Consider the following 26,494-nt stretch of genomic DNA (forward strand, 5'->3'; position numbering starts at 1 on the left):
AAGACTAGCTCAAGACATAATGTATCACTTTTTAGAACAGCAGGCACAGCATTCTGGACATGACACAATTGACAGCTGCTAAGAAGAAAAATTTCAATCATACATGATCTCCAGTGTGTCCTTGGATAGTATTTAGAATTTCTTCATTACTTCATCATTAGTAAAGCAGAGTATCACAGCTTTGCCAGTTCCTTCATAAAGATGTAGATGATGTTACTTCCTTAATAGCTATTTAACATATTAAATATAATTCAAATAGAAATAATGTTAAATATCCAATCTATTAAATTCTTATTTCCTAAAGAAAGAAAATATGCAGCTAAAATAAAGTCCTTGTCAGACTTTCTAGAAAACAGCAAGTTACCAGGGCGACAATCATATAGAGGTAGGGTAGATCATTTACTTTATAAATGTTACCAGGGTAACAGAAACTACTCGTGGAAATCACTGAAGGATTTAGGATGAGAGTACAGATAGACCATGGAACTATTTGTTCTTTCATAGCACATTGGAACAAAATGTCCAAACATATTTAAAACTTTTAACACTTATGTGAAGTATTTGGGTATTCATTAAATAGATGATCAGAAACGGGTTCACATATTGAGAGTATTCTCAAATGTGAAGAGTACATCTCAAATGTAAATCAAAAGATATTATTTTTGATTTCTTACTGCTCAGTATGTCATTGGGATACTTTATTTTACTCTGAATTTTGACTTTGCTAGATTAGTTCTAGAGAACCTAGTTATTTCTACCTAGGTGCTATGTCTGCAATTTAGGATCATGGTTAATGGTGTTGATTAGCATGAGGCTTGAGTTTTATAGGTCAACCAATTAGGGTGTAGGAGGGAGGGAAGTGGTTAATGGAGAGAAAGGGAAAAACTATACATATACATATATATGTATACGTATATGTATATAATTTTCATGTGTGTGTTTGTGTATGGCGTGTACGGATTAATCAGGTTTGCTTAAAGAATTATGGAGTTTAGAGTTAGATTTTTCAAAATGATAACACAAATACAAGTAAAATGCCTTTAAACTTTTCTACTGCCTAAGAAGAAGCTTACCAAAGATAGGAATTAAACGTACATTTTTCTCCCTGTTTTAGAACAATTGGTTTCCCTCCCAATAAGACTCTGTCAGAAAACAAATAATTCTAATATGTTCATCTATGGTTAACAGTTAAGGTATGTGCAAAGTCTATAAGCAGTAAAGAGGAGGAAGTTACTCACTGTGGAGGGAGTAGAGGAATAAGAACAAGGCTTCACAGAGGAGGTAACTCCTGAACTTGGTTTTGAAAACTAAAAGGAGTTTTTTAGACCAACAAGTGTTGGGTGTCAGGCAGGAAGGGTGCTCTGAGCAAAGTGATCAGTAGATTGTAGGCAGGGTTTTGGTCCTATTCACCATGTGCTGCAGCTGGTGAACATCTAAGAGAAAGCAAGGTATTTTTACAGGCTACCAGGTGCCTCTAACACTGGGGCATATGCATGACATTTGTGTGCCCTTCAACAGTTCTGCCACAGAAGGTATCACTTAATCATGATTAGGGCTGTTGTCCTATATTCCATTAAACATGGCATCTTCTCCTAGAGTTCCGTTTGCATTTCTAGGCAAAGCCTCCTCACCAATATCCGATGTGCCCTTTCACAAGTTCTCCACTCAGAGTTGAGTGTAATATGCAGAGAATGTTATTGATATTACTTGGGTATCATAAAGTAATCATTATAGCCTCTGCACAAGGCTAATTAGTCCTAATTATCTGAATACCCCAGGTGAAAGTGAGATTTCTACTCCCCTCAGAACCCCAAGAATGCGTAGTGTCTCATCATTTGACTGTCAACAAATGCTTCGTTGCTAAGTTATTCAAACAATAAAGTAAGATGATAGAGATTCTAAGAAAAAATACCAGAACTTATATGTCTACATGAGTTTCTTTTTTCTATGTGATGAAATTACTTTGGGAGGCCTTTTCCATTGATGCCATCTTAGACTAGGACATTTTAAAAATTTATTCTTTGGGAATAATTTTCAGAGATAATTTATTAATCATACAAGTAAAACAAGTTCATCAGGTTATATTCACATGATAGAAAAATGGAGAAACACATACATAATAGCTAGATAGATAGATAGATAGATAAATAGATGATAGAATGGGTGGATAGATGATGAATGAATGGATGGAGGGAAGGATGGATGCAGGGATGCGGATGGATGAATGGATGGATGGGTGGTCAGACAGACAGAATATAGGTAATAGATATCCTGGGACATGACACTAGTTCTTCTTTCCCAACTACAGTATAATTTTATTATTTGAGAGTTTATTCCATATAGTTCGCAATATTTCTCCCGTTCTATTTTGTTCTAAATAAATATTTGATAATAAGTTACACTTTATAGACTATTTCTGCATTGGCAAATATTAAGACACAAGCTTCCAGGTGCCGTTAGACAAGGATACTGACAAAGGTTTCTGAGAAAATTAAAGACGTGCATCTTCTCTGAAATCAAACCCAACTTATTAGGGAAAATGATGCTAATATTAAATTTGTCTTTGTAAGTTTGATCATTAAATATTGTCATTGTCAGTAAGGAGGTGTGTTAAAAACAATTTAGGAAAATTTCTCTTATGTTCATAATGTAGTATTCTAATTCCTTTTCAGTTGCAGATTTGTTTATATCAGCTGAAACAACTGTGTTATTCAGCGTAGTGTCTTAATTGGCAGTTACATCTGTAGAGAGAAACATTTTCTTGTGGACATTTCTTTTATTAACTCTCAATAAAAGCCAAGCACATGTTAACTTTCAATTTTCTGAAGAAATGTATAGGGCAACTACATTAATATTCTTCAGGTATGTAAGTTTCTTATAACCTATCTTGATATAAGAATGACTCAGTAAATCCAATTGGCTGACATGTGGCTTATTTGGTGTTTATTTAGTCTGAGCCAGGATGTTATTAAATTTATACCATCTGATTTATAGTTTCACCTAGGTACAGGCTATTTTACCTCTCATGGAAAAGATGGCAAGATTGTTCAGTTTGTGCCAGAATTTTCCTTAATAAATGTCTTCAAAGCTCTCACAGGAGCCCAAGCATGTACACAGTTGGGATCTAGTAGTTCTGTGCTGTTGAGTGCTTGAGAGGCAAATTTCATCTAAAATATTGAGGGCAGGCATAAGACCTCTTGGCTATCATCACTAGGTGGCTCATAAAGTACTCATGATTTTAACAGTACTAGACTCTGATGCACTTGCCAAGATGAATCAGGTGTAAAATGTACTCCGTGGCAGCAAACGGAACTGATAGAATAGAACTATTTGATGTGGACCATGAGAATTTAAAAGTATCTGCATAAATTGATGATTTGGCATCAGATAAAGCTGATATCAAACCATTCTATCTTACAATAATTACTCAATATGTTCAGCAGACTCTGAAATCTGCACTTGAGAAATGACAGAAAAACTATATCATCAGCAGAGAAAACATCTTCTTGCTGACCTAGGAAGGCATACAAATAGTTCAGTTGGCGTCACACTGTTTATGCATAATATTTTACAAATTAGGGTGGTACTTGTTCCCTTTTATATCACTTAACATAAGTATAATTTCATTGCACATAACTGAGGAGAAATAGTAGAAACAAGCTGAGAAAACTGAAAGCAAATTCCAAGAAAGAGGATTAGTCCTCATCTATGTTAAAAAGAACATTGTGCTCTTGGCTTTATTTTCTTATTTAGCATAGAGAAAATCAAGCTAATTATCAACTTGGGTTCTGAATAATAACCTTAAAACTTCTATTGAGAAGAGAAACCTTTTATCAAAGAGTTATTCTTAAACGGTTCTTAATCAATACACATTAGAACCATTTCTGCATAACAATGTTGTATATTAAAAATCAATTCTTACTTTCCGATAAAGGCTTTTATCTTGTCTTGTATCTCTAAGTATTTTCAATCAATACTGAAAAAATCATTATGCTTCCAAGTTTGTGTTACATGATACATGTCTAAATACTCAGATTCTGATATCACACTCCAAAATAATCTAACTTTCTGAGATGCATATATGAAATTTATTTCAAGGAAGTGTTTATATTATACATGGCATGAACTGATGAATGATTGATGGATACTACATACACATTACTGTCCATATATGCTGAAAGCTGACCTCCATTATAGATATTATTTAACCAAAAGACTGACATATACATATAATACAAATGTGTGTTTATATGAGGTTATTCAGAGTTACATTTAAAGACTGAACACTGTTGAGATTTGTGGTATTAATTAGTAAGGAAGAGAATATGGTGGATGCATGGGTCAAAACTGACTCAGGAAATTTCAGCCTAGGTGGCTAGGTAGAAAGTGGGGTCCTTAAACTGAATTAGGATGTGTAAGAGAAGGCATAAGTTGAGGATCAGGGATATATAGTTCCTTTTGGGCATGTTGACTTTTCAAGGCCAGATAAAGATTTTCAATATGTACCTCCAAATACAGGTTTGCCACCCAAGAAGGGTAGTAATAAACTTATGAGTCATTTATTCCTGCTGGAGAGAATAGATGAGATTTCTAGCAATTCGCTCACTTTTCATAGTAATTACCATGCTTGATCTATGCAATAGCTAGTGTTGTGCATACGCTGAGGTTACCTTAAATTTACTAGTCTTATATGTACTAAATTAAATGCTTGCATATGCCCCTTACAAGCAAGATTGTTTAGCAACCCAATTATGCTTTTTCTTATACCTATACTGTTATGGCTAATTATGTATTGTATTACATATGTCTTTTTGAATTAATCAAATGTATATGCACTTGATGTTTCCTCTTAGGGAACTGACCACAGTGATAAGTTAGGAAAATAGAGATACTTCAAATTAGAAGAAATCTTAGGAGCCCCCAATGAAGTCTAGCAGTTGATGTAAAGGTTTCAGAAATTGTCCTGTGTATCCATGAAAAGCTGTTTCATTTCCATTTTGCAAACATTTCAGGAAACTTTTTTTTATTAAATTGTATTTCTTCCATAGCCACTAGCCCAGCTAGTGGAAGAACAACAAAATTGGAAAAGCACAGCAACAAGCCTCTGCCTAGTAAAAACCAAGAAAGCAATAAACCTTTGCCAAGCCTATAAGAAAAATTTAAAAGTCCACCGTTTATTTATCTTGTTGTTTAGATATATCTGTCTCATTGTTAAGTCATTGTGAATGCAGGGATTTATAAACCCTACACTATTATCACTGGAGGGTTCCCACTGCTTTTAGAATAGAGTGTTCCTAAAAAAAAAAAAATCCATTTCTTTTACTTTATTGACAAGAATAGATTATTTCAGGCTTTGCTGGATAATCCCATCTTTGGCCTTTGGGGCTTTAAACCGTGTTTTTCTCTAACGTTCTGGTTGATGCTGGTAATGAGAACCAGTTTTACTGATCATAGAAGTATGAGCTCAGAGTGACTCACTAATTCCAATGTGTTTCCAATGGCCAACTTGAAAAAGCTACATAGGGGGATGTGAGAGCTAAATTACTGAAGACCATCATGTTTTCCTGTGGGGTTTTTCCATGCCCTGAATATGTTATACATGCTTTTTGTTGGTGTTTTCTTCTCTGTTCTATTTGACATTTTAAAGAGCAGAAGTTTAAAGTAAGTTTCTTAAGAATCCGTAACAGTATGCCCGTATCTCCAGACAAATGTTTACAAATTGGATTGTGGCTCAAAGATTTAACTTTCCTTCATGTCTTTTTCTAAATACAAAGTTCAAACCGAAATTGTCAAGAGTGAGGATTCATTGACAGACAATCAGCAGGAGGTCCTTTTAGTGGAATATTACCTGTGATACAAAAGGATTAAACATTTCAAATATAAACCTTTAATCTGTGCTATCTAATTACTGACATCTGAACCAGTATCAAGGAATTTGTCACTTTTTCACTTTTGTAATTCTAACAAAGAAAAGAAGCAAGAAACGTAATTCTGCATCTGGAAAAAACTTCTAATGCAAAAGCATGTAGCTTTAGTCTTTTCTCTTGAGATGGACTAGGATATGTTCCCTGTATTTCTGATTTGTAAAGATTCAGCAAGGCAGCTCTGTTACTGCAATCACCCTTGCTTATGAAGTTATGTAGACAGTCCCATGTAAATCAGAATGGTCCAACCATTTGATCCTGTCCATTTCTATTACACATGGTCAGGCATATGATGAGAAATGTTCTGGCTAACACAATTTCATCTTATAACTGTCCTAGAAAATGAAATAAATTGTTACAGCATTGGTTTCCTAGCAGAGCCAAAATTATGCAAGGAGGAAAGCCCTTCTACTTTTCCTCATATCCCTGTACTCTCTCTGATAAATCTTTCTCTCTTTCCCCCTCTCCATTTACTTTTGGTGCTATACAGATTCAATTTATTAGACAATTACTAAATTACCTCATATTATTGCTTAAAGTGTATCTTCTCTTCTTTAATTTGTTAAGTTTAATAATCTCCAGTGAATATCCATTAAAGAGCATATGCTTTTTCCCCCATTTTGAATTGTTAAAAGTCATTAGAACTAGGATTTTGAGCCAATCTGAAATCAGCTAGATATTCCTTGTATTGCTTTTTTTAGAAAACTTACTTATTGACTGTTCAGGGGAAGGACATATTTGTCCTAAAGCAGGCTGTTAATTATCATGAAAACTTACCTATTGGCTGTTCAGGGGAAGCACATATTTGTCCTAAAGCAGGCTCTTAATTATCACATCAGTCTAGCCAATATTGTGATGGAATACTGAAAGTAAAGGAGAACCAAAAATATGTGGGTTGTATTTCCAGAAAAATATATGTTATAAGAGAATACGAAACATGTGGATTGTATTTCCAGAAAAAAATGTATGTGTATTTGAAAATTAAAGATTCCTTAGGGGAAGAAAAACTTGTTTTAAATTTTATTAATCTCAAGGTATTTAAAAATCCTCTGAAAGAATTTTAAAGGCTGCAAATTATAATTATCATGTAATTAATTAATTCCTGAAATGTTTTTAGCAGAATCAAGAACATTTCTGTTGCCTGGACCTTGGAAGAATGACAGCAATGAAAAAGTTCATATTATTTGCCAGTGTTTTTCCCTTAACACTGAAAATGTTAAATTGCTCTATAGTTAGTGACTTATTGGAAAAACGAAACCAGAGTCATTCATTCCTCTATTCATTCAACATACATTTTTTGGGTGTCTGCTATGTGCCAGGCACTGCCATTCTATATTCAGTTAGAATACAAAACCAAACCAAAAAAAGATCCTCTCTTCATGGAATGTATCTTCCAGCAGGGGAAAAATAATTTAAAAACTAAAAATGCTATGGCAAATGATGTTAAATATTTGGAGCCAGATTTTGGTAAAAATAGCAAGCAGGTGTAATTTGTCTTTTAGAACCCCAGCCATTATTTTCAACATCTTTTCTTCCCACTTGGCGATGTCCTTCCTTCAAGACGCTTAGATGTTCCAAAAGGTCATTCTTTCTCTCTTTTGCTTTTTCATTTAAACAACATTTAAAGAGAACCCACTATGTACCAGATATGTGCTGCACCATATTCAGAGATTTAATGCAGTATAAATTATGTATAGTCCCTGTCTTTATGAAACTTCCAGTGTATTGGGGAAGAGAGAAATCAAATCAGTATTTTAAGGAATAAGAAATTAAACTGGCCATACATTCTATTAAAGAAAGATTCATGGGACTCTAATCTCATGCATGTGTGTGTGTGTGCATGCATTTGGTGGGATTCTCTTAGAGAGGGTCATGGGAGGCAGAAAACAACCGTCAACTCCCACTAAACTAATAGTGGATGCTTCTCCCAAAACCTCTCCTGAAAAATTTGATCTGGTTATTAGCATCTTGGGGTAAATGAAGTTATCAGTAGACTTAAGTGTGTGCAATATTTTTCCTATTACTTTGTAACAAAACGTTTGTGAACCTTCTAGAAAATTCCAGGCATCAGCAAGAAGTTCATTGGTCTTTTAGGTTTGGAGTCTTCTATGCTTTGGAATAATGTCCTCCTTATTCAGATTACAGAGAAGTCCTTCACTCTGCATTTTCATGAGGCAATTATATAATATTGTATATACTATCACAAAAGATTAACCTGAATATAACAGGATAATGTATTTATGGATGAAGGAAGTGAAGCTCAGAGAGGTTAATTGTCATCACTAATATCACACAAGTTGGTGGCAGAGCTGGGACAGGTATGTTTCAATTCAGTTAACACCAACTCTATTTCATTATATCTGGCTTGATTTTTTTCATTAAATTTTGATATGTCAGGTTATATAATTTAACCTAGAGTAAATCAAGTTGGCAGATTAATAAAAAATTATTATTGGATTCTTCTGTATATGAAAGACAAAATATTAGTATGTTATCTATGTCCTTTAATGCCAATCACATTAGCATATGAAGTAAGATATTTTTTAATATTTTAGCAATCCTATCATTATATCTTAAGTGGAAAGGAGTTTTATGATTTAGCTAAAAGCTTTGATTTTGACAGACTTGTTCATCCAAATACTATCATAATTTAATTCTTTGTGTCCTAAGGTTAGTTAAAACCTTTGATCTGACAGGCACATGCATCCAAATGTACCGTAATTTAATTCTTTTTGTCTCAAAGTTATGTTATGTTGGGTGATATGTCTGAGGTAAATATGCCTTATTTTTAATGTTCATAATCACTGAATAAGACCCACCTTAATGTTATAAATATTGTAGCGCTATTTCAGGTTATCAGATTAATGATACTGTTTGCACTTTATAAAAAGTAGATTAGATAACTATGAGAAAATTCTATGTAAGTATCTAAAACTATATGCTAACATTCTTTTCAATTTCTACACGTAAGATAGTTTATTGTTGCAGCATATAATTAATTTTGAGCATTATACAACATTTTTATTTAATTTTTTAAGATGAGACTTTTTTTCAAAACCCTACATATTAAGTCTAAAAGATCAAAGAACTCTGAATCAAACCCAAATTGAATAGTTTCTTCTAAAGTAATAATATTTTGTCATTTTCCTTATATTAGATATTATCTACTTGTAAAACTAAAAAGTTATAAAAACAAGCAAAAAGCTTTATCTTTTTTCTTTTTATATATGCTTGAATTATTTTTAAAATGAGAAAACAATTTTTAATAAAGGTGGAACATTTCCTACTCTTTTAAAGAGTTTTTCCTGATTAAATTTTAAAACTACTTAGGAAATTTTGCTTATAATCCTGCATTTATGTAATGGCATTGAGAATAATTTGCCAAACACAGACCTTATAATACTACAGAAACAAATCCAGAGAGCTTTACTGACCAGCTACTGACTCACTAAATGAAAGAAAAAGACCATTCCCATTGAAAAATAATATCAATATTGAATTATCCATCCATGGCATGGGGGAATACAGCATCTCTTCCAGGAAGTCAGAGATGGACAGGTAAAATGAAGAGCCAGAAAAAGAATTTCTCATAAAAGAAAGTAGAGAAATTAAGCTTTCCTGGAGGAGAAATGCAGCTGTTCGAGCTGTGGAATTTCAATGCATGCAGACCTCACATCTATCTCATATATAGGTGTGTATACACTCGCTTCATGTGAACTTTGTGAAGTCAATCATTGCTCCATTTGCTAATCCCAGTTTCAATTTTTGTCAGCTGTCCCTCTATATTTTCAGTGTAAATCCCTGTCTCTTTGTAATTATAACCAAAACATACATGTGTTTAATCACCTCTCTATCTTGGACAATTTTTGTTTTAATACTTGGGATGCCTTCATGGTGTAGGCCTAGGGAATCCTGCCTTGAACTACATTCAAGGGGCAGGAATTCTAGCTGCGGATTCCATTTCCCTGTAAAATTATGCAGCCCTGGCTGCATAATGCTGTCACTGCCTGAAGCAGCTGCTCCTGCTGCTTTCAGCATTGTACATTGTCAACTTTTCTGTCACTTCATTCACAAACTTTGCTCCCACATTGTTCACATAATCATCTCTTTGCTTCTTCCTACACCCAGATTTTAAGGAAAATAATTATGAAATAATTTGGTAGATATAATATGATTTTAGAGTAGTAACTCCAGAACTCTTTAGAAAAGCCAGTTGTTCCCTTATTGATCTCTCTACTTTTTTTTTAACGTACTTAGGAAAAAATTGTCGCATGACTATTTACCGCAGGTCTGACTCAAGGGAAAGGTCATGCATGGCAGTAATAAGAAGCAAGATCCTCACAGACATGCTGAAAATTAGCCACATGGGGTTATAATCAAACCAGATCAAGAAAGGTGACTGAGACCAAATAAAATGAAATGTGAATTGTCATTCACTTTTGCTGGTAAGTTTTGAAATTTGAAATTGACCAGCAAATTTCCTACTCCTCTTGTGTCTATAAACTGAAAAACTGGGAAGTTCATTTATTCTTTGACTACTAGTAATTTTGTAGTATGAGTAAATTGGAAAGTATGATTACTGTTCTTCACAATGTAAAGGTTTAAAAGAATGCCAAACTAAGCACTGCATTTTATTGTTGTTTTCCAAAGCCACAGGTAAATAAAAAGTTTTCTGTTTTTCTGAAATTTTTGCATACTACTACTTTCATCCAAAAAACAATGTCCTAAATAGATGATTTAACCATGTGAGTTCACACTATAGCTGTGTCACTAGGATGGGGTGAAATCATCATTTCATATTTGGATATATCCTTGGAATATAATTTTTTTTAACTTTGACAACTAATTTCCTGATTCGTTAAAGTCCCTAATGAATATACATAAAATAGTTAACTTAAATACCTCAGATAGGCAGGTCATGGTGGCTGATGCCTGTAATCCCAGCACTTTGGAAGGTGGAGGCAGGCAGATCTCGAGGTCAGGAGATCGAGACCATCCTGGCTAACATGGCGAAACCCCGTCTCTACTAAAAATACAAAAAATTAGCCAGGTGTGGTGGCACGTGGTCTCAAAAAAAAAAAAAAAAAAACCTCAGATATGATTATAAACCAGTGAAGCTTTAATATTTTTAATTAAGTTTGAATTGTGTACATTTGGGGGTGCCGTGTAAAAAATACATTTTAAAAGGAAGGTCTTATACCGAGGCCATTGGATATTAATATTTGTTGGGTCTAGCCTATGAAGAAATCATGGAATTATAATTTGACTTTTTGTTTTGGTTTGCTGTTGTTGTTTTGAGATGGAGTTTCACTCTTGTTGCTCAGGCTGGAGTGCAGTGGCGTGATCTCAGCTCACTGTAACCTCTCCCTCCCAGGTTCAAGTGATTCTCCTGCCTCAGCCTCCCAAGTAGCTGGGATTACAGGCGCCCGCCACCACGCCTGGCTAATTTTTTGTTTTTTTAATAGAGACAGGGTTTCTCCATGTTGACCAGGCTGGTCAGGAACTCCTGACCTCAAGTGATCTGCCTGCCTCAGCCTCCCAAACTGCTGGGATTACAGACATCGAGCCGCAGCACCTGGTTTAGTTTTTTTTAACCCTTTATAAAATACCCACTATAGTCAGAATAGCCACTCAGAATATGTGGGTTAGCTGAATTTGCTATCCCATTGCCATACAAATTCTAAAAGCTATCAACTGACAGACTGTTTGGCAGGGGGGTGGGGGGGCTGGGGGTGCAGCAAAAATAGTCAGGAGGAATGACACAATAAAATATTACCAATCAATTAACCAGTGAGTTGACAACTGGCCTTGATCAGAGCTAAGGAGAAAGAGGGCTCTCCCTATAATGAGCTGTGATTAACAACAGGAATTACCGAAATGTAATTATAGCCAACTCTTCAGAGATGAGCCATCCATGCCTTGAGACTTCAGGGTCTCAGTAAAGATAGAGGTATTTTTGTTCTTGATTACTAAGATAACAATTGAGCCATGTTTTTAGATGCAATCCGGTGTGTCTACAAGCCTTCATCATATTTTAGAGTTATTTCCTTCCTACAGTATGTTTTTCAGCTTGATACTCAGTGATCTCAGGCTTATTCCTGGGGACCCAGAGCCTCCTGCTGAAGCAAAACATCCAGGCTTGCTCAACATAGACAGTCCCTTAACTTACAGTGGGAGATGCAAGTCTTGTGGCTCAACTGTGACTCTAGGAGTTGAGTGGTAGTAGCATCACCCAGTGAAAATTTCAGACTAAAAAAAAGACAGAAAATGACATGGCATCTCCAATAATGTTTACTTTTGTGGAAAATTGTAATCTCCTTGATTACTTTATATTGCATTTGTGAAACTTACTCTATTATAGCTTGTTAAAGTTATTTAACTGTAATTTATCTCTCAGTTATTTCACAGCAAGATATAACAGAGGCCGGGCACGGTGGCTCACGCCTGTAATCCCAGCACTTTGGGAGGCCGAGGCGGGTGGATCATGAGGTCAGGAGATCGAGACCATCCTGGCTAACAAGGTGAAACCCCGTCTCTACTAAAAATACAAAAAATTAGCCGGGCGCGGTGGCGGGCGCCTGTAGTCCCAGCTACTCGGGAGGCTGAGGCAGGAGAATGGCGTGAACCCGGGAAGCGGAGCTTTCAGTGAGCCGAGATTGCGCCACTGCAGTCCGCAGTCCGGCCTGGGCGACAGAGCGAGACTCCGTCTCAAAAAAAAAAAAAAAAAAAAAGAAAAAAGATAGAAACTCAGCATTCGTGAATGGATGAATTAATGAATATTCTTTATTCTAAACACTGTACAGTACCAAAATATCTTTTAAAAAGTTATGAAGGCTCTAACATTGCAGACGGTTTGGCATATATACTATAATTTGAGTACCCCCTCAGTATTTCAAGTTGACACAATTCTTACTACTAAAAGTATTGCTTTATCAATTTCAAGCCAGCTAAGATAGACTTCTTTAAAAACAGATCAATTTTTGTTTCTAAAAATATATCCTAATATCAGGGTATTATTCTACCACAGAGAATTCACATTGATTGTCTATCCATTTAAAACAATATAGTTATAGTCTTTTCACAGTATTTCAAAGACTTGGATAAGCTGGCGGTGTAAACATTTCCTCGTGGGAACTTTATAAAATGAAAAGAAAATAAATGATTGATGCATACTCAAACTAATTGAAGTGGTACTGAGTCAACCAGATGTTTTCACCTGAATCATGCCCACAGATGCTATTGCTTCATTATCCCTTAATCTAGGGATTACCTCCATTGGCTAACTCGATGACCTGTGAGGGTTTCAAATAAGATTGCCTCTCCCTTGTAACATACATCATAAAGAGAGCTTGTTTAGAGGCAGCCTACCTCCGCCCTGAACATGTTTTCAAGGAAGTGATCAGGGCTGTTTGTTTTTCTTGCTGTTGGATGTGGTCTTCAGTGAAGTCACAGGAATGGAATGAGAGTGGCCACAGTTGACAATGGAGCTATTTCCACAGCTGGCTGCAAAGAGTGGGCAGTCCATCACAGATAAACTAGCACATGGGGATAGATGATATAAAACATCTGTCACAATAGGGATAAGCAAAAACAACGTGCCTTTGAAGATTGTGTTTTAATGATGAGGTGGGGGGTTCTGTCTCTATAATAGGAATGAAAGATGTGTTGTTGGTGGGCAGATGGCTTCAGGCTTGCTCTTGCATGAAATAAAGCAAAAGTATGTGTTAAAAATCTCTGACAGTTGTCAAGTCACCTGATTTTGCTGACCGTTCATTTCCTTGCCTATCCCATGTGTAATCTATGAGAAAAGAAAGGGAGTGCTAGGAAAAAATAATGGCAGAAAAAAAAAACTGGTTCTGAATAATTTTCTTTTGGATAACTTTAATACATCAGTATAATTTTAACTGGAGGCTGAGAGGTCAGAAAACGTGTTTTTGCAATAAGTTTCTTTAATATATTTGCATCCCCATGTTTTTTTTTATAGAAGTTTTGTAAGGTAATATAAAAATGCTATGTCACCAAGGCCACATAATGATAAATATTTCAAATGTGAATACCAATTAGTAGACATAAAGTCCTATTTGTTCCTGTTAAAGGAGCAGTGAGGAAAAATAAAGACATCTTAATAAACTATTTTTGATGTAATTATAATAGTTTGGTTTCCCACCCCATCTGCCTTTGAAAATAAATTAAAAACAATAAAATTCACATACAGTTTTATTTCATATAGTTGCTATAGAAAAAGAAATCTTTGCAACAGACAAACTGATTGCAAATAAATGCCGAATATTCTTGCACAATACAATTCTATATATACCCTGTTACATGACCAAAGGGTACCACTGTCACTGCTGTCCCCCAAACCATTCCACTCTGCTCTGGTAAGGAAATGGTTGCCATTGCTGCACACTGAAATTTTGCTACTTTTGCCACAACCCCACCGGAAAAATGGATGTCACATTCCTTGCTCATTTATTATTTTAATCTGTCTTTCAACTCTAATTCCCTTGCAGGTGCTTTTGATTAGCAGAAGTCACAAATCTATATCTAGCAGCAAAAGGGTGTAGGAAATGTTTTTAGAAGGGTTTTCTTTTCTTTTTTCTTTTTTCTTTTTTTTCAATTCTACATTGAAGAGGTAGGATTCACACTGGGGGAAACTAATGACATCTGAAGAGAGTATTAAAAAATAAATTTCTACATCCATGAATGGCAGAGGTACACCACAAGAAGCAACTGGACTGGTCAAAATAAGAGATCTTAAAGAAAGAGCAGTGCCAGGCATGGTGGCTCACGCCTGTAATCCCAGCACTTTGGGAGGCCAGGGGGCGGATCACCTGAGGTCGGGAGTTCAAGACCATCCTGATCAACATGGAAAAACTCCGTCTCTACTAAAAATGCAAAATTAGCCAGGTGTGGTGGTGCATGCCTATAATCCCAGCTACTCAAGAGGCTGAGGCAGGAGAATCGCTTGAACCTGGGAGGCGGAGATTGCAGTGAGCCAAGATCACATCATTGCATTCCAGCCTGGGCAACAAGAGCGAAACTCCATCTCAGGAAAAAAAGAAAAAAAAAAAAAGAGAGAGAGAGAGAACAGATTTAAAGGAATTTGTGATGTTCTGACAAGACTTGACTCCTGACTGAGTTTTATGGCTGATGAGGGAGAAGGAAACGATCAAGATGACTTAGGAGTTTCTTTGTTATTCTGAGAATCGAGCAGAGAAGAAAGAATACTCTGAGAATGAAAGAGGAAGACAGCATTCAGAGCGGGACATAGTAGTTTTGAGGTACATGGGATTCGGTCAGTAGTTGGAAATTTGGATCATGAATTCAGAAGAAACACCAAGGCAAGAAAGACTTTTTTAAAACTTTAATTTTTAAACTAATTATAGCACTTTTGATTAATCAAGTCTTAACAAGCGGGAATATTTTGGAATTTTACTTCTAACACCTTATTTTTATGGTATGTATATTGAGCTAACCAAAATATTTCGCTGCTGTCTCTTACTATTCTATGCGGCATATACCATCTCTTCTAATGCTTGGCTGTCATAGCTATTTCTAACTCACTGGTTAAGCAGATGACGTTATTTGGAAAGAATGGAGGTTTCAGTGTGAAGGTTGCCATGAAAATATGTCATAGGAAAAGAAAGGGAATTTTTTTGTTAAAGGAGATTTTATGGGTAAAGGCAGAAATCGTATGGAGATGATTGAGGAACTATACTAAATATCAGTGGCTGTCATTTATAACAAGGAGTTATATTAATATTACTAATATTATTCCAAGCTATCTGGCTCTCAAGCAAGAACAAACAAAGGACTTAACAAAATGATTGAGAGTCAAACCAAGAATCTTTTTAGAAGCAATGTAATAGAAAATTCACTCAGAGCCCTGGCAGACCAAATGCAGAGCTAAGCTTTCCAAAGTTTATCGTGAATATAACTCACCTGGGGCAGGCTCTAATTTAGTGGGGCTGGGGTTCACCTGAGATTCTGTACTAAGCTCCCTGATGATAGTATCCAGTCCCAGGCCATACGTTAAGAAACAAGGTAGTAGAGTTTAAGAACATTCTATTAAACTAAAAAAAATGTTAAAATTAATCATATAGTATTACTGCTTAGGAGAAATGGCAATAAAATCTAAGCGGAATAAAACATGTAACTAAGTTTCTTGCACAAATCCTGAAACAAATAGGACACTGAAGGATAACAAGATAAAGCTGTCTTTTATCTCATCTGGACAGTTTTAAATATATTAATTGAAATCTTGAAGGCCTCAGAATGTAACTTGTTTGGATGCTAATATATAAGTTTTAACCTTAGAATATGTCTGTTACACCAGGACATATTTTATCTCAGCATTAGACCACAGAACATGTCATCAATAGGGTATATACTGAGTTTGAAGCATGTTAGCAATAATAATACTAATAGAAAGTGTGCTTTAAAAGGAGTAAATTAGTTCTTTAATAGGGTCGTGACTTCACACCTGTATCCTTAGATCTAGTTAAGTTTCCAGCCCTAACCAGGCAAATTCCTAAAAATATCTTAAAGGAGAAAAATATTCTCTGAGGGACCACAAAATAAAGTGCTTTTTGCAGCAAATTGCAGGACAAGGAATAGCTACTTTCTTAGTAATAGCCAAAAATTGAGGTGCCTTGTGACATATTTAGGCAACTTGCACTATAAACAATGGCCATAAGTAAGATAACAGGCAGCTATTTCTCTTGATCGCCCCTGTGGTTTGAGCAATGATTTTCCAGGCCCATTTGCCAATAGGATCTTACAAGACCTTGAAAAGGATTTGCAAGCAGGTCTTTCAGTCTATTTGTCAGTAAGGAGAAGTTTTTAATGAGAAGTTTTATGACAGCTCACAGTCCTGAGTCCTAGTTAAACCCAGATAAACATTTTACCAGACAAAAGATGAGGTCCATAAATATTCAGACGTCTTCTGGGAACCCTGTTTGCCTTATCATTTGGAAGAAGGCTGGCCTGAGTACTGCATCCGATGTGTGCTTGAAACTTCTGTAAGTTGAAAATGTGTTTGGAGGTATACAAAGTGATTGCTGTACAAATGAATAAAGCATTTCTTATCACATGACAAGGTTTGACAAGAATCTCAGGCAGATATATGGCTACTAAAACAGTTCATGGCATAGCAAAGTCCTAATTTAAAAAACCTTAACCTACATTTGTGGCAGTACACATTGGCTGTAATATGTACAGAACATCTTGCAGCATTTAACTGAGCATAAATAATTCTTCCATAGAATGGAAATCATGTCGTGAACTCCAATGTTAAACTTCCTTGGGTGGGGTGTGGCTCTCAGAAGCCCTGGGATTTTCATACTAAATAATGAGAAGGTCAAGCTGGCAGTGGTCAGACTGAGATACTGTCAAAGAAAAGCAGAGGAAGTGTATGAATGGATCTTTTACGTCCATCTTTTTGGCCAGAGAATGCTTCTGGTATTTCCATTGAATCTTCTTGTCCAGTTTGAGCAAGGAGCTGCTGTTATTGTTTCACATACCATTAAAGTCATCAGAGACCTGCTGGTGAGCAAGTGCCATTCACTCACTCAGTCCATTAGCACCACTAACTAAGCATCTGTTTTATGACAGACACTGTGCTGGGCTCAGAACCATTAAAAAAGAAATATATAAGGTATTGCTAATGATACCAGTGAACTTAGGATTCAGGGAAGAAATAAAGTTTGATCATGATCAAAGTGTGTGCAAAATGTTATGGGAGAAGAGAGGAGCAAGTGACCGGTAGCCTGGGTCAGTCATAGGAGTTATTCCCCAGAATTTAGTATTTGATAAGAATTTTAGAAGACACATATAAACTGCTGTAGAAGCCTAGCGTTGCAGGCCAAGACAGCAAGGGTAAGAGGTAAGACGGACAAGAGAATGATGAGGAATACAGTGTGGTGGAAAGAGAGGCTTCATGTGCATGGGCTGGGGATCAGGCTAGAAAGGTAAATTGAAAGCTGTGTGATCCTCGTAGATTATGTGTGCTATGCTAACAAGGCCATCCCAGACCTACCTGTAGAAGCCTCTTTTTGACAGAGATAATGCTGAAACAGAGTAGAAAGCACATGCTCTTGGGCAGCCCTACAACTCATTCACTCTAACTGGTTTCTGAATAAGACAAGCAGGAATAGAAAAATGTCTTGTCCTGTCACTGAACTGTCCTATCTACTCTTACACTCCTCCAACACATTTAATGTAGAATAGCCATTGACTTAACAGTACCAGTGTCTTAAAAAGGACATTTCCACTATGAAAAACTAACGCAGCTCTAGGTTGCACTTTGGGAAAGGAGGTCATTTAACACTGTTTCCCTTATAACCCCACTTAGAACAAAAAATAAGGAGAAACTGGTCTGCTCCTCTTCAAATTTTATATATATATATATATATATATATATATATACACACACACACACACACACACACATATATATGTATATATGCATACATATACATATTGTTTTTAAGGTAGAAAAAATTAGGAACTAATCTCAATATTTCAAATATAATTTTTTATTATGAAATATATTTGGTGGGTAGAGATCAATGGTTTTCTTTCTAAAAAAAGTATAGAAGGAGCTGAAATATATTTGATTAATCAATTCATTTTTAAGTGTCATAGCTTTATAGTCTTTTGTCTTTGATTTTTTTTGTCTTGTGCTGTTTTTGATTCCTTTAAATAAATTTTGGAGTGTGCAATACATCTGTATAGGAAAGCTATATACCATGGGGGCCCTGCAAAGCAAAGACTAAGGACTATGGTTATGCCACTAATTTTTTCACACAAATAGTCTCATTTTTTCACATTATCTACACCACAACACATGTATTTTTATGTAAACTACAGCAGTTTACATGTGTCCTCTAAAATTCTTATCAAATACCACATTCTGGGGAATAACTCCTATGAATGAACCAGACTACTGGTCACTTGCTCCTCTCTTCTCCCATAACATATTTGAACCAGGCTACTGGTCACTTGCTCCTCTCTTCTCTCATAACATATTTGAACCAGGCTACTGGTCACTTGCTCCTCTCTTCTCCCATAACATATTTGTGAGTGGTAGACACCCCCAGCTGAAAGCTACTCATTAGTTATGCGATTGGAATCAGAAGCTGATGAACACAAGTTCACCCTTTGTCATTGAAGCTCTAAGGTCCTTCTGAAGTGGCCTGGGATCTTTCTCTAAACAATTAATATTTCCATTGACTCAGCAGTTATGATCTCCTTAAGTAGAAAAATAAGAGGAAAAAATATAGTAACCCATCTGTGTAAGAAATTTATAATCTTAAGATCAATTCTGTAATCAAGTGTACAAGTTTAATGACAAAATAATTAAGTGTCCTATTGCATATTCAGTCAACAAAATCCCTTTGACCGTAGAGTCCTCAAAATCTCAAATTTTCAACTCTCCCTCAATAATGCAATATATTTAAAAGCCACTTTGCTCTATTAGGATTCTAAAGAAGCTACTGAAAACACCAAAAGCTACTGATAAACTTGTTTCTGTAGTTTTAGGCACAAACGTCTAAAGGATTAAAATAAAGCATTATTGAGAATCCTAATTATCTATGTACCTGCTTTGGTAAGAAATACTTCAATATGACATATTTACTTTATATTCTCATTCAAAATGACACTATTATATTAATAGGTACTTAACCAATAATTGAAACCATTATTCACAGTTGAATAGGCGTAGTACATAATTAGGATTCTTTTAAAGGGATTTCCATGGCTAAAACTAATTTGGCTTTAGTGTCTATTAATATTATAACTTTAAAAAAAAATACTTCCAGTTACTAGTTACTGAATCAAAAATCAACTTGAAATTAAAAGTGTGATTAAGAGTACAAGGAAAAAAATGCTATGTTTATAATTAATAGATATTCTGTTATTGGGAAATCTATGTACATGTACATATCTCTTCTACCTTTATCATATAGCAGTGGAAAATGTCTTACTTCTAAACATTATACCCCTAGCCCATAGCTATATATCTCCATATAGTAGTCCAAATATCATGCCAATTAGTCTAATCCTGTCCAAGCATAGGAAAGAGAAACCCAGCTCTAGTTTGCCCCATTTCCAAAATAAATAGCAAAATAAGTTAGCACTCAAAAATAATGATAAAGCCATTGGAAGTCATGTAATAGTCCTGTTTTCTTTCATTGCACAATTATGGAATTTGGGAAATTGGTGTATATTATAACCATAATCTTGCCATAGATCTAAAATGTGCTATTAGTTGTCGGGAACAGACTGTAGATGAATACTTTGTGTCACTTTTCTTTCTTTCTTTTTTTTTTTTTTTTTTTTGAGATGGAGTCTCGCTCTGTCTCCCAGGCTGGAGTGCAGTGGCATGATCTTGGCTCACTGCAAGCTCCGCCTCCCGGGTTCACGCCATTCTCCTGCCTCAGCCTCCGAAGTAGCTGGGACTACAGGCGCCTACCACCACGCCTGGCTAATTTTTTCTATTTTTTAGTAGAGACGGGGTTTCACCGTGTTAGCCAGGATGGTCTCGATCTCCTGACCTCGTGATCCGCCCGCCTCGGCCTCCCAAAGTGCTGGGATTACAGGCGTGAGCCACTGCGCCCGGCCTACTTTGTGTCATTTTTCTAGTTACTGCCTTTCAAATTCTTCCTCACTTTGTATAAATGGAGCTTATGGATATATGTATATATGGACCAGGGTTTCTGAACCCTAGCACTAATCCTGGGTTTGCTGGATAATTATTTGTCGTGGGGAACTGTTCTCTGTGTTGCAGGATGTATAGCAACATCAATAACCACTACCCCCTAGGTGCTAATAGCACACCTCGGCAGTTATGATAACCAAAAATGTTACCAGACATTGCAAAATCACTCCTGGTTGAGAACAAATGAAATATGTACATATACAAATACTTTTTATTCTAATATATATATATATATTTATATGTCTCATATAGCATTAGTCAAACTTTTTTCATCAAGCAAATCTTGGATTTCATCTTTAAGGGGATGGTGGTTGAAGATGTCATTAATGCGCATGTGTGAGTTGAACTATGGTTTTAAAACTGAACTGCCCCTTGGGAGAACAAGTTTTCTCAAGAATTTTGTAATGATCCATTTTAACGAGCAATCTCAAAATAACATTTCTAACTAACTACTTTTTGATTAGAAGTTTTATTCTTTCATCATTCTTTCGGTGAACTCTTATAAAGCATATATTATATACCTCACACTATAAACAGCACTATAGACACTAGACAGTGGTGAACAAAACAACATAATTTCAACCCTTTCAGAATAAACAATCAAAATGAGAAATATTAGTAAATATTTACAGTTTGTCATTGAACTGAAAAATGAGTGGTACTGATATATAAAATTAATTTACAAAAACTGTTTTGAGTACTTACTGCATGCAATTCCTATTTATAGAGATTACAAAAGTTGTATAAACATAATGTCTTCCCTCTTGAAAGATGTAACGTGGAAAGAAACAAGTAGACAATAATAAAGGGGAAGGAGGTATTAAGTGCTAAAGTGAAGTTCTAGGGGCAGTGTGGCTTCTGGCTTACCATGTAATTCATCATTTCCCATACCTCCAGCATTTGTCAAATCCTTCCAAAATGCTTACAAAGTTAAAGGCTACCACCTTTGCCACATCTTTTGAATTTCAAACATAATTTTTTAAAGTTGGACTGCACTACTACGTTGGTTGGAAATTTATCAAGGTAGATAAGGATTAATGATTGTTTCTAAGAATTAGAGACATTTCTTACTCCTTTTGTTTCTTCTCCCCACAAAAGCCTTTCTTAAACCCTGAACCCTCATCAAAACAAAACAAAACAAAACAAAACAGTTGACATCAACAAATGAAAGAAATTAGACATCCCTACATATACTACAAGACAAGGAATGTTGCATGCTAATACTGCAGAACACTGCATTTGGACAGCTATTCCTCAAGCTACCTTCATGCCATTTATATTATGAGATCTCTGTTGCTATTAGGTATTTGTTCTAGGAATATTAAAAACTGGCAAAAATCAGACATGAATAAAAGAATAATGAAATAGTGACTTAAAACCACCTTTTTAAAATTCATATATAGTTTTGTGTGAATAACTATAGGCAATCGTATAATACAAATCACAGACATTTTGACTTGAGGCATTTAGATAAGACAGCAGAAAAAAAGGGATGCTGTTTTTTTAATTTTCACTTATCCAAATAATTTTATTTTTGTTTTTCCATTTCTATGAGTTCAAATGCAAGGCTACTAAGATTCCAAATATGAAGGATTCCCAATGTGTTATAATAGAAGCCAAACTGATCAAATTGAAGCATGTCAGGTCATCACACTTATTCAGTGATTATATGGTGTGATTATTCAGATAATATTTCTAGGTCAGCCCATCAAAAATGCAGGCTTAGCCCCTTTGAATGTTTTTAACAAGATATAATGTGATTATCACATAAAAGACCATGGCCTGTAAAAAGACTGGATTCAAACAAATAAATGAGAAACAGCGTACATAAAATAAAGCCACTTGTTTGCCTGTAAGAACTGTAACACTGGCTTTATACGATAGCAGTTTTTAGACAGAGCATACTTCTTAAACTTTAGAGTATATCAGAATCACCTGGAGAGCTTGTTAAAATACAGATTTCAAGGCCTAATCCCAGAGAGTCTAATTTTTGTCTACTGCTGCTACTGATCCACAAACCATAGTTGGGGTGGCACTGACCTAGAATACTATCACAGGAATATTAATGCAGCTAGTTCTTCTTATTGTGGTTCATCTTCTGGGATTAATATAGGTGCTAAAACAGCTATGTGTGCTCTAGATGGTAGAGAAGCCACACATGCTTTTCCCTGATTTGCCAATGGTTTTGTATTTCAGTTGGGAAATTAAAATATTGAACTTTCAAAGACTTCAAATTTCTTTCAAACATTGGCAGAAGGTTAACAACACAGATGCTTTTCTGGCCTTAGGTCAGATATATTTACGCCACACATGATGATCTTTGGAAACTTTACCCAAATTACTGTTGAAAATTGTTTATTTCAGAACTAGGGCAACCAGATCCACCCTTTGTCTCTTGAGTGGGAGCAGCTTTGTTTTGCAAAGGCAGTGGCTAAAAAGGACCAGACCTTTCCATCAGCTGTTTGGTCATTGTATTTTTTAGTGGAATTATAGCATTGTACAATATTTTTCTTTGCAGCCCAAACATTGAGCAAAGCCAGACATCCAGAGATGCTAAAATGAAAAATCTGTTTCTTCTTGCTTTGCCACTTGCCAGGTGAACTCTGTCAGACACCACATCCTATACATCTCAAGTAAACAAAATTATGCTTAATGTGTTGGCAACATCTGTCACAAACACTCTTCAGCCTATGGCTTAAATATATTAAGTTGGAGTGGATTTGACAGTGTATTTAATAAGTCAAAGTTACGGTTGTGGATACTGGCTTTGCCATGCTAACCATAAGGCTTTTCTTTTCTTCTTTTGTATTTATTTATTTATGTCATATACAATACAAAAGAGATTCTGTAGTTTTAAATAAGCAAAGTGGCTGGCAAACTCCCCCTTTGCTGTAGGTAACCAACACTAAACCTCTCTAAGTTGTCTGTCCCAGACAAAGTATCATTAAGAAAATTCATTTCTCCCAGGAGTTCCTATTAGTTACTTCCAGTTTACTCCCTGACTGTACATTTCTTCCATTCCCTTAAGATTAAAAAATTTGTATTCTTAATAATTTGTAGGATTGTTTTCACTGAATGTTTTTATTGAATGCAAACAAGACTCTAGATTCTTACATATCCTTCCCCAAGAATCCTTATTTTATTTTTTATTTATGTGCAATAACTGATCTGCTTAGAAAGAACTGTTCATTTATGTGCAGTAACTGGTCTCCTTACATTATTTTCCACTCTGTGCCTAGTGTTGCTATTTACAATTCCAATTAATGATAAATCCCTTCTTACTTTTCCCTTTGATTGTCAGGTTTCTGGTTTATACACAGAAGCAACACTCACTCTATGACATCTGTAATCAAATGAGTCCCCAAATACTGCTTTCAATGAAAAGATTCTGAAAGAGACCAGACAATTCTTCCAAAATTAATTCCAAGTGCAGGCATTCGATCCTTCTCATCATGCATGAATTTTGATTGTTCTGTCACATGCTCACCTACCTCATCTGCATATTGCCTTTAAAAAAAACACACCCCTGGGGAATGAGACAACCTCCAGGGTATTGAGAAGAAAGTATCCTTACCAAACGCAGTTTGGTTTTTATCTCTGATTTACATGAATGATCCTTTTTGTGGCTAGAGCAAGCTGTTTAGAATTGAGGGGTTTCTGGGATTGTGACAGTTTAGCTGCATGTTGGAATGTCTAAGGGCAAATATTCTAAAAAGATAACCTGTCTTGAGTTCAAGAAGAGAATCGAAGTCTTGCAGCTGCTAAGCATTAGAATGTTGTCAAAGTACCACTTTTTGGTTGAAAAAAAAAAATGCTTCAGGACTTCCATCTTAACTCTGAGGTTATTCTATAATTTATCCCTAGGTGATTTAAGAAGAACCCTTGTTCTTCTTAAAGTGTTTACTTCTGGTCTGGCACAACAAATACCTGAAATGAAGGCCAGTAAGTATTTTTTAAAAAAGGAAAACAATAAAGATGGTTTTGTTAAAAAGATTCAGGCAGCAGAAAGAAAAGTGATGTGTCTCTGAATTATAATTAAGTAAAAGCTTATCTTATGTTTCTCATTTAAGAGGCATCCTGATGAATGACAATGCACAGAAGCATCGAGAAATTCAAACAACACAAATGCACAATTGTGTATATTTACAAGCTACAGACCTTTAAAATAACAGACATGTTTTCTGATTGATTCCTACTGAAAAGCCTAAATGTCTTTGTGAACAAAGCTGGCCCTGTATATCAAGCATTTCCAAATATTTGGCTCAATTTCTATTATCTCTGAAAATTAATGGGGAGGAGCCCACAGAGAAGGCAGAGTGATAGCCTGATCTTTTTCACAGATATAGTCAGGAAGTTGAATTTCGATAATACCAGGAAGAATTGCTTAGTTTGAGCAAAAGCATTTTAGGAAACGCGCAGTGGGTAATTAGTTTGGGTGCCGAGATCTGGCCATCTACATGCATCTGTCCAGTGAGAAAAATAATGTTTAGGGAAATAATTTATTCAGATACATAATCATTTGATCATAACTGAGTATTTAAATGGGTTGTTATAAAATATGTTTCTACTTTTATCACAATCTTTAAATAAACATTGAAATTATATACTCTCAAAGATTCCATCCAATTCAAGCTTTTTAAGTTTGTTTTTTAAAAATATTTTTCCTTCTCCAAGTTAATTACTGCAAGGAAAGTAGCAGGGTAGAGAAAGAGAAATGGAAGGATAAAATGACTTAGCTCCATTCTTCACTCACCATATGACACTTTGCATATGGATGGAAGTTTTTTAAAATGTCTGTAATTTCTTTTATCCCCAACAATGATAATAAATCAAAAGACATATTCTAGACATCCACTTTTCTTAACATCTGATTTAAAAGTTGACACTTTTATTTTTAAAAAAAAATTGTGGATGGACATAAAAATTTGACCAGCTCTAACAGAGTTTGGTATTCTGTCTTGTGTCTAAAATATAGATAGATAGAAAACAGGTCAAAAGGTTAGGAGGAAAACAAATGGGAAATAGTAATTTCGATTTTTAGATTATCAATGATAGATTTTAATATGTCCTTCAAAGAGATCCAGTTCAGAAACCCATGTGGGCCAGCATTATCCCTCTTAGTGGTAGATTGTATTGGGGTGACTAAGAATTATGTATGTATTAATAAGTAATAGATAAATGACATAAACCAAGTCTTATCAAATAACAAGAAAATTAGAGAATTTCCACTAATGTTCATATGTTTCAGTCAGAGAAGTTTATATTTAGAACAGTGGGCAAGAGGATATAGATGATTTTCAATACATTCTACCTCAAAAAATGAAAATGTAAGTGACATATTTTAGACACATCACAGGTAAATTACCTCAGAAGAAAGGAAGATGTTAATGCCATCTATTCAGACAAGCACAAAATGACATGAATGGACATAAAAATTATATACAGTTGAATTTAGCCTTTTTAGTAAAAAAGTAAAAACATTTGATGTTCACACATTTACAATTTACAGTGTTTATTTGTAAGAAGTCTCCTTCCTTGTAGGATATATTTTCAAATGGACATTGTATATGCTTGTAGGGTGCTGTGATTACACCAACCATGGACCATCCCATGTCAATGCAGCCAGCCAACATGATGGGCCCACTGACACAGCAGATGAATCACCTTTCGTTGGGCACAACAGGAACGGTGAGTTGAAGAGATTGTTTTGTTTCCTTGAACTTTTTTGATCAGATGTGATATTCTCCATTTTTACTGGCATTATCAGTGAAACTGTGTCTGTACCATATTCGTTGACTAACACATCTTTCAGGTTTCAGTATGAATAAGCTGCATTCTGCATGTA

General features: G+C 35.3%; 1 protein-coding gene and 2 long non-coding RNA genes across 17 annotated transcripts in view; 1 reads left to right on the forward strand and 2 right to left on the reverse strand.

Annotated features, from left to right (window-relative positions):
* RBMS3 (RNA binding motif single stranded interacting protein 3) overlaps positions 1-26,494 on the forward strand; it is a 729,325-nt gene that overhangs the window by 628,789 nt on the left and 74,042 nt on the right. For all 15 annotated transcript variants that reach the window (XM_005265061.3, XM_017006180.2, XM_017006179.2 and 12 more), the window contains one exon: positions 26,227-26,337. In XM_005265061.3, coding sequence (XP_005265118.1) covers positions 26,227-26,337 — 111 coding nt within the window. The remainder of the gene's footprint in view (positions 1-26,226; positions 26,338-26,494) is intronic.
* On the reverse strand, positions 12,094-15,954 carry LOC124906222 (uncharacterized). The gene is made up of 3 exons (XR_007095852.1): positions 15,870-15,954; positions 13,293-13,459; positions 12,094-12,173 (listed from the first exon to the last, which is right to left on the reverse strand). It is a non-coding gene; the product is annotated as an uncharacterized LOC124906222 (long non-coding RNA).
* On the reverse strand, positions 16,952-24,297 carry RBMS3-AS1 (RBMS3 antisense RNA 1). Its single transcript, NR_046556.1, has 3 exons — positions 23,983-24,297; positions 17,112-17,314; positions 16,952-16,987 (listed from the first exon to the last, which is right to left on the reverse strand). It is a non-coding gene; the product is annotated as an RBMS3 antisense RNA 1 (long non-coding RNA).

The sequence above is a fragment of the Homo sapiens genome, chromosome 3 (assembly GCF_000001405.40).
Source record: "Homo sapiens chromosome 3, GRCh38.p14 Primary Assembly".
Taxonomy (NCBI): Eukaryota; Metazoa; Chordata; class Mammalia; order Primates; family Hominidae; genus Homo; species Homo sapiens.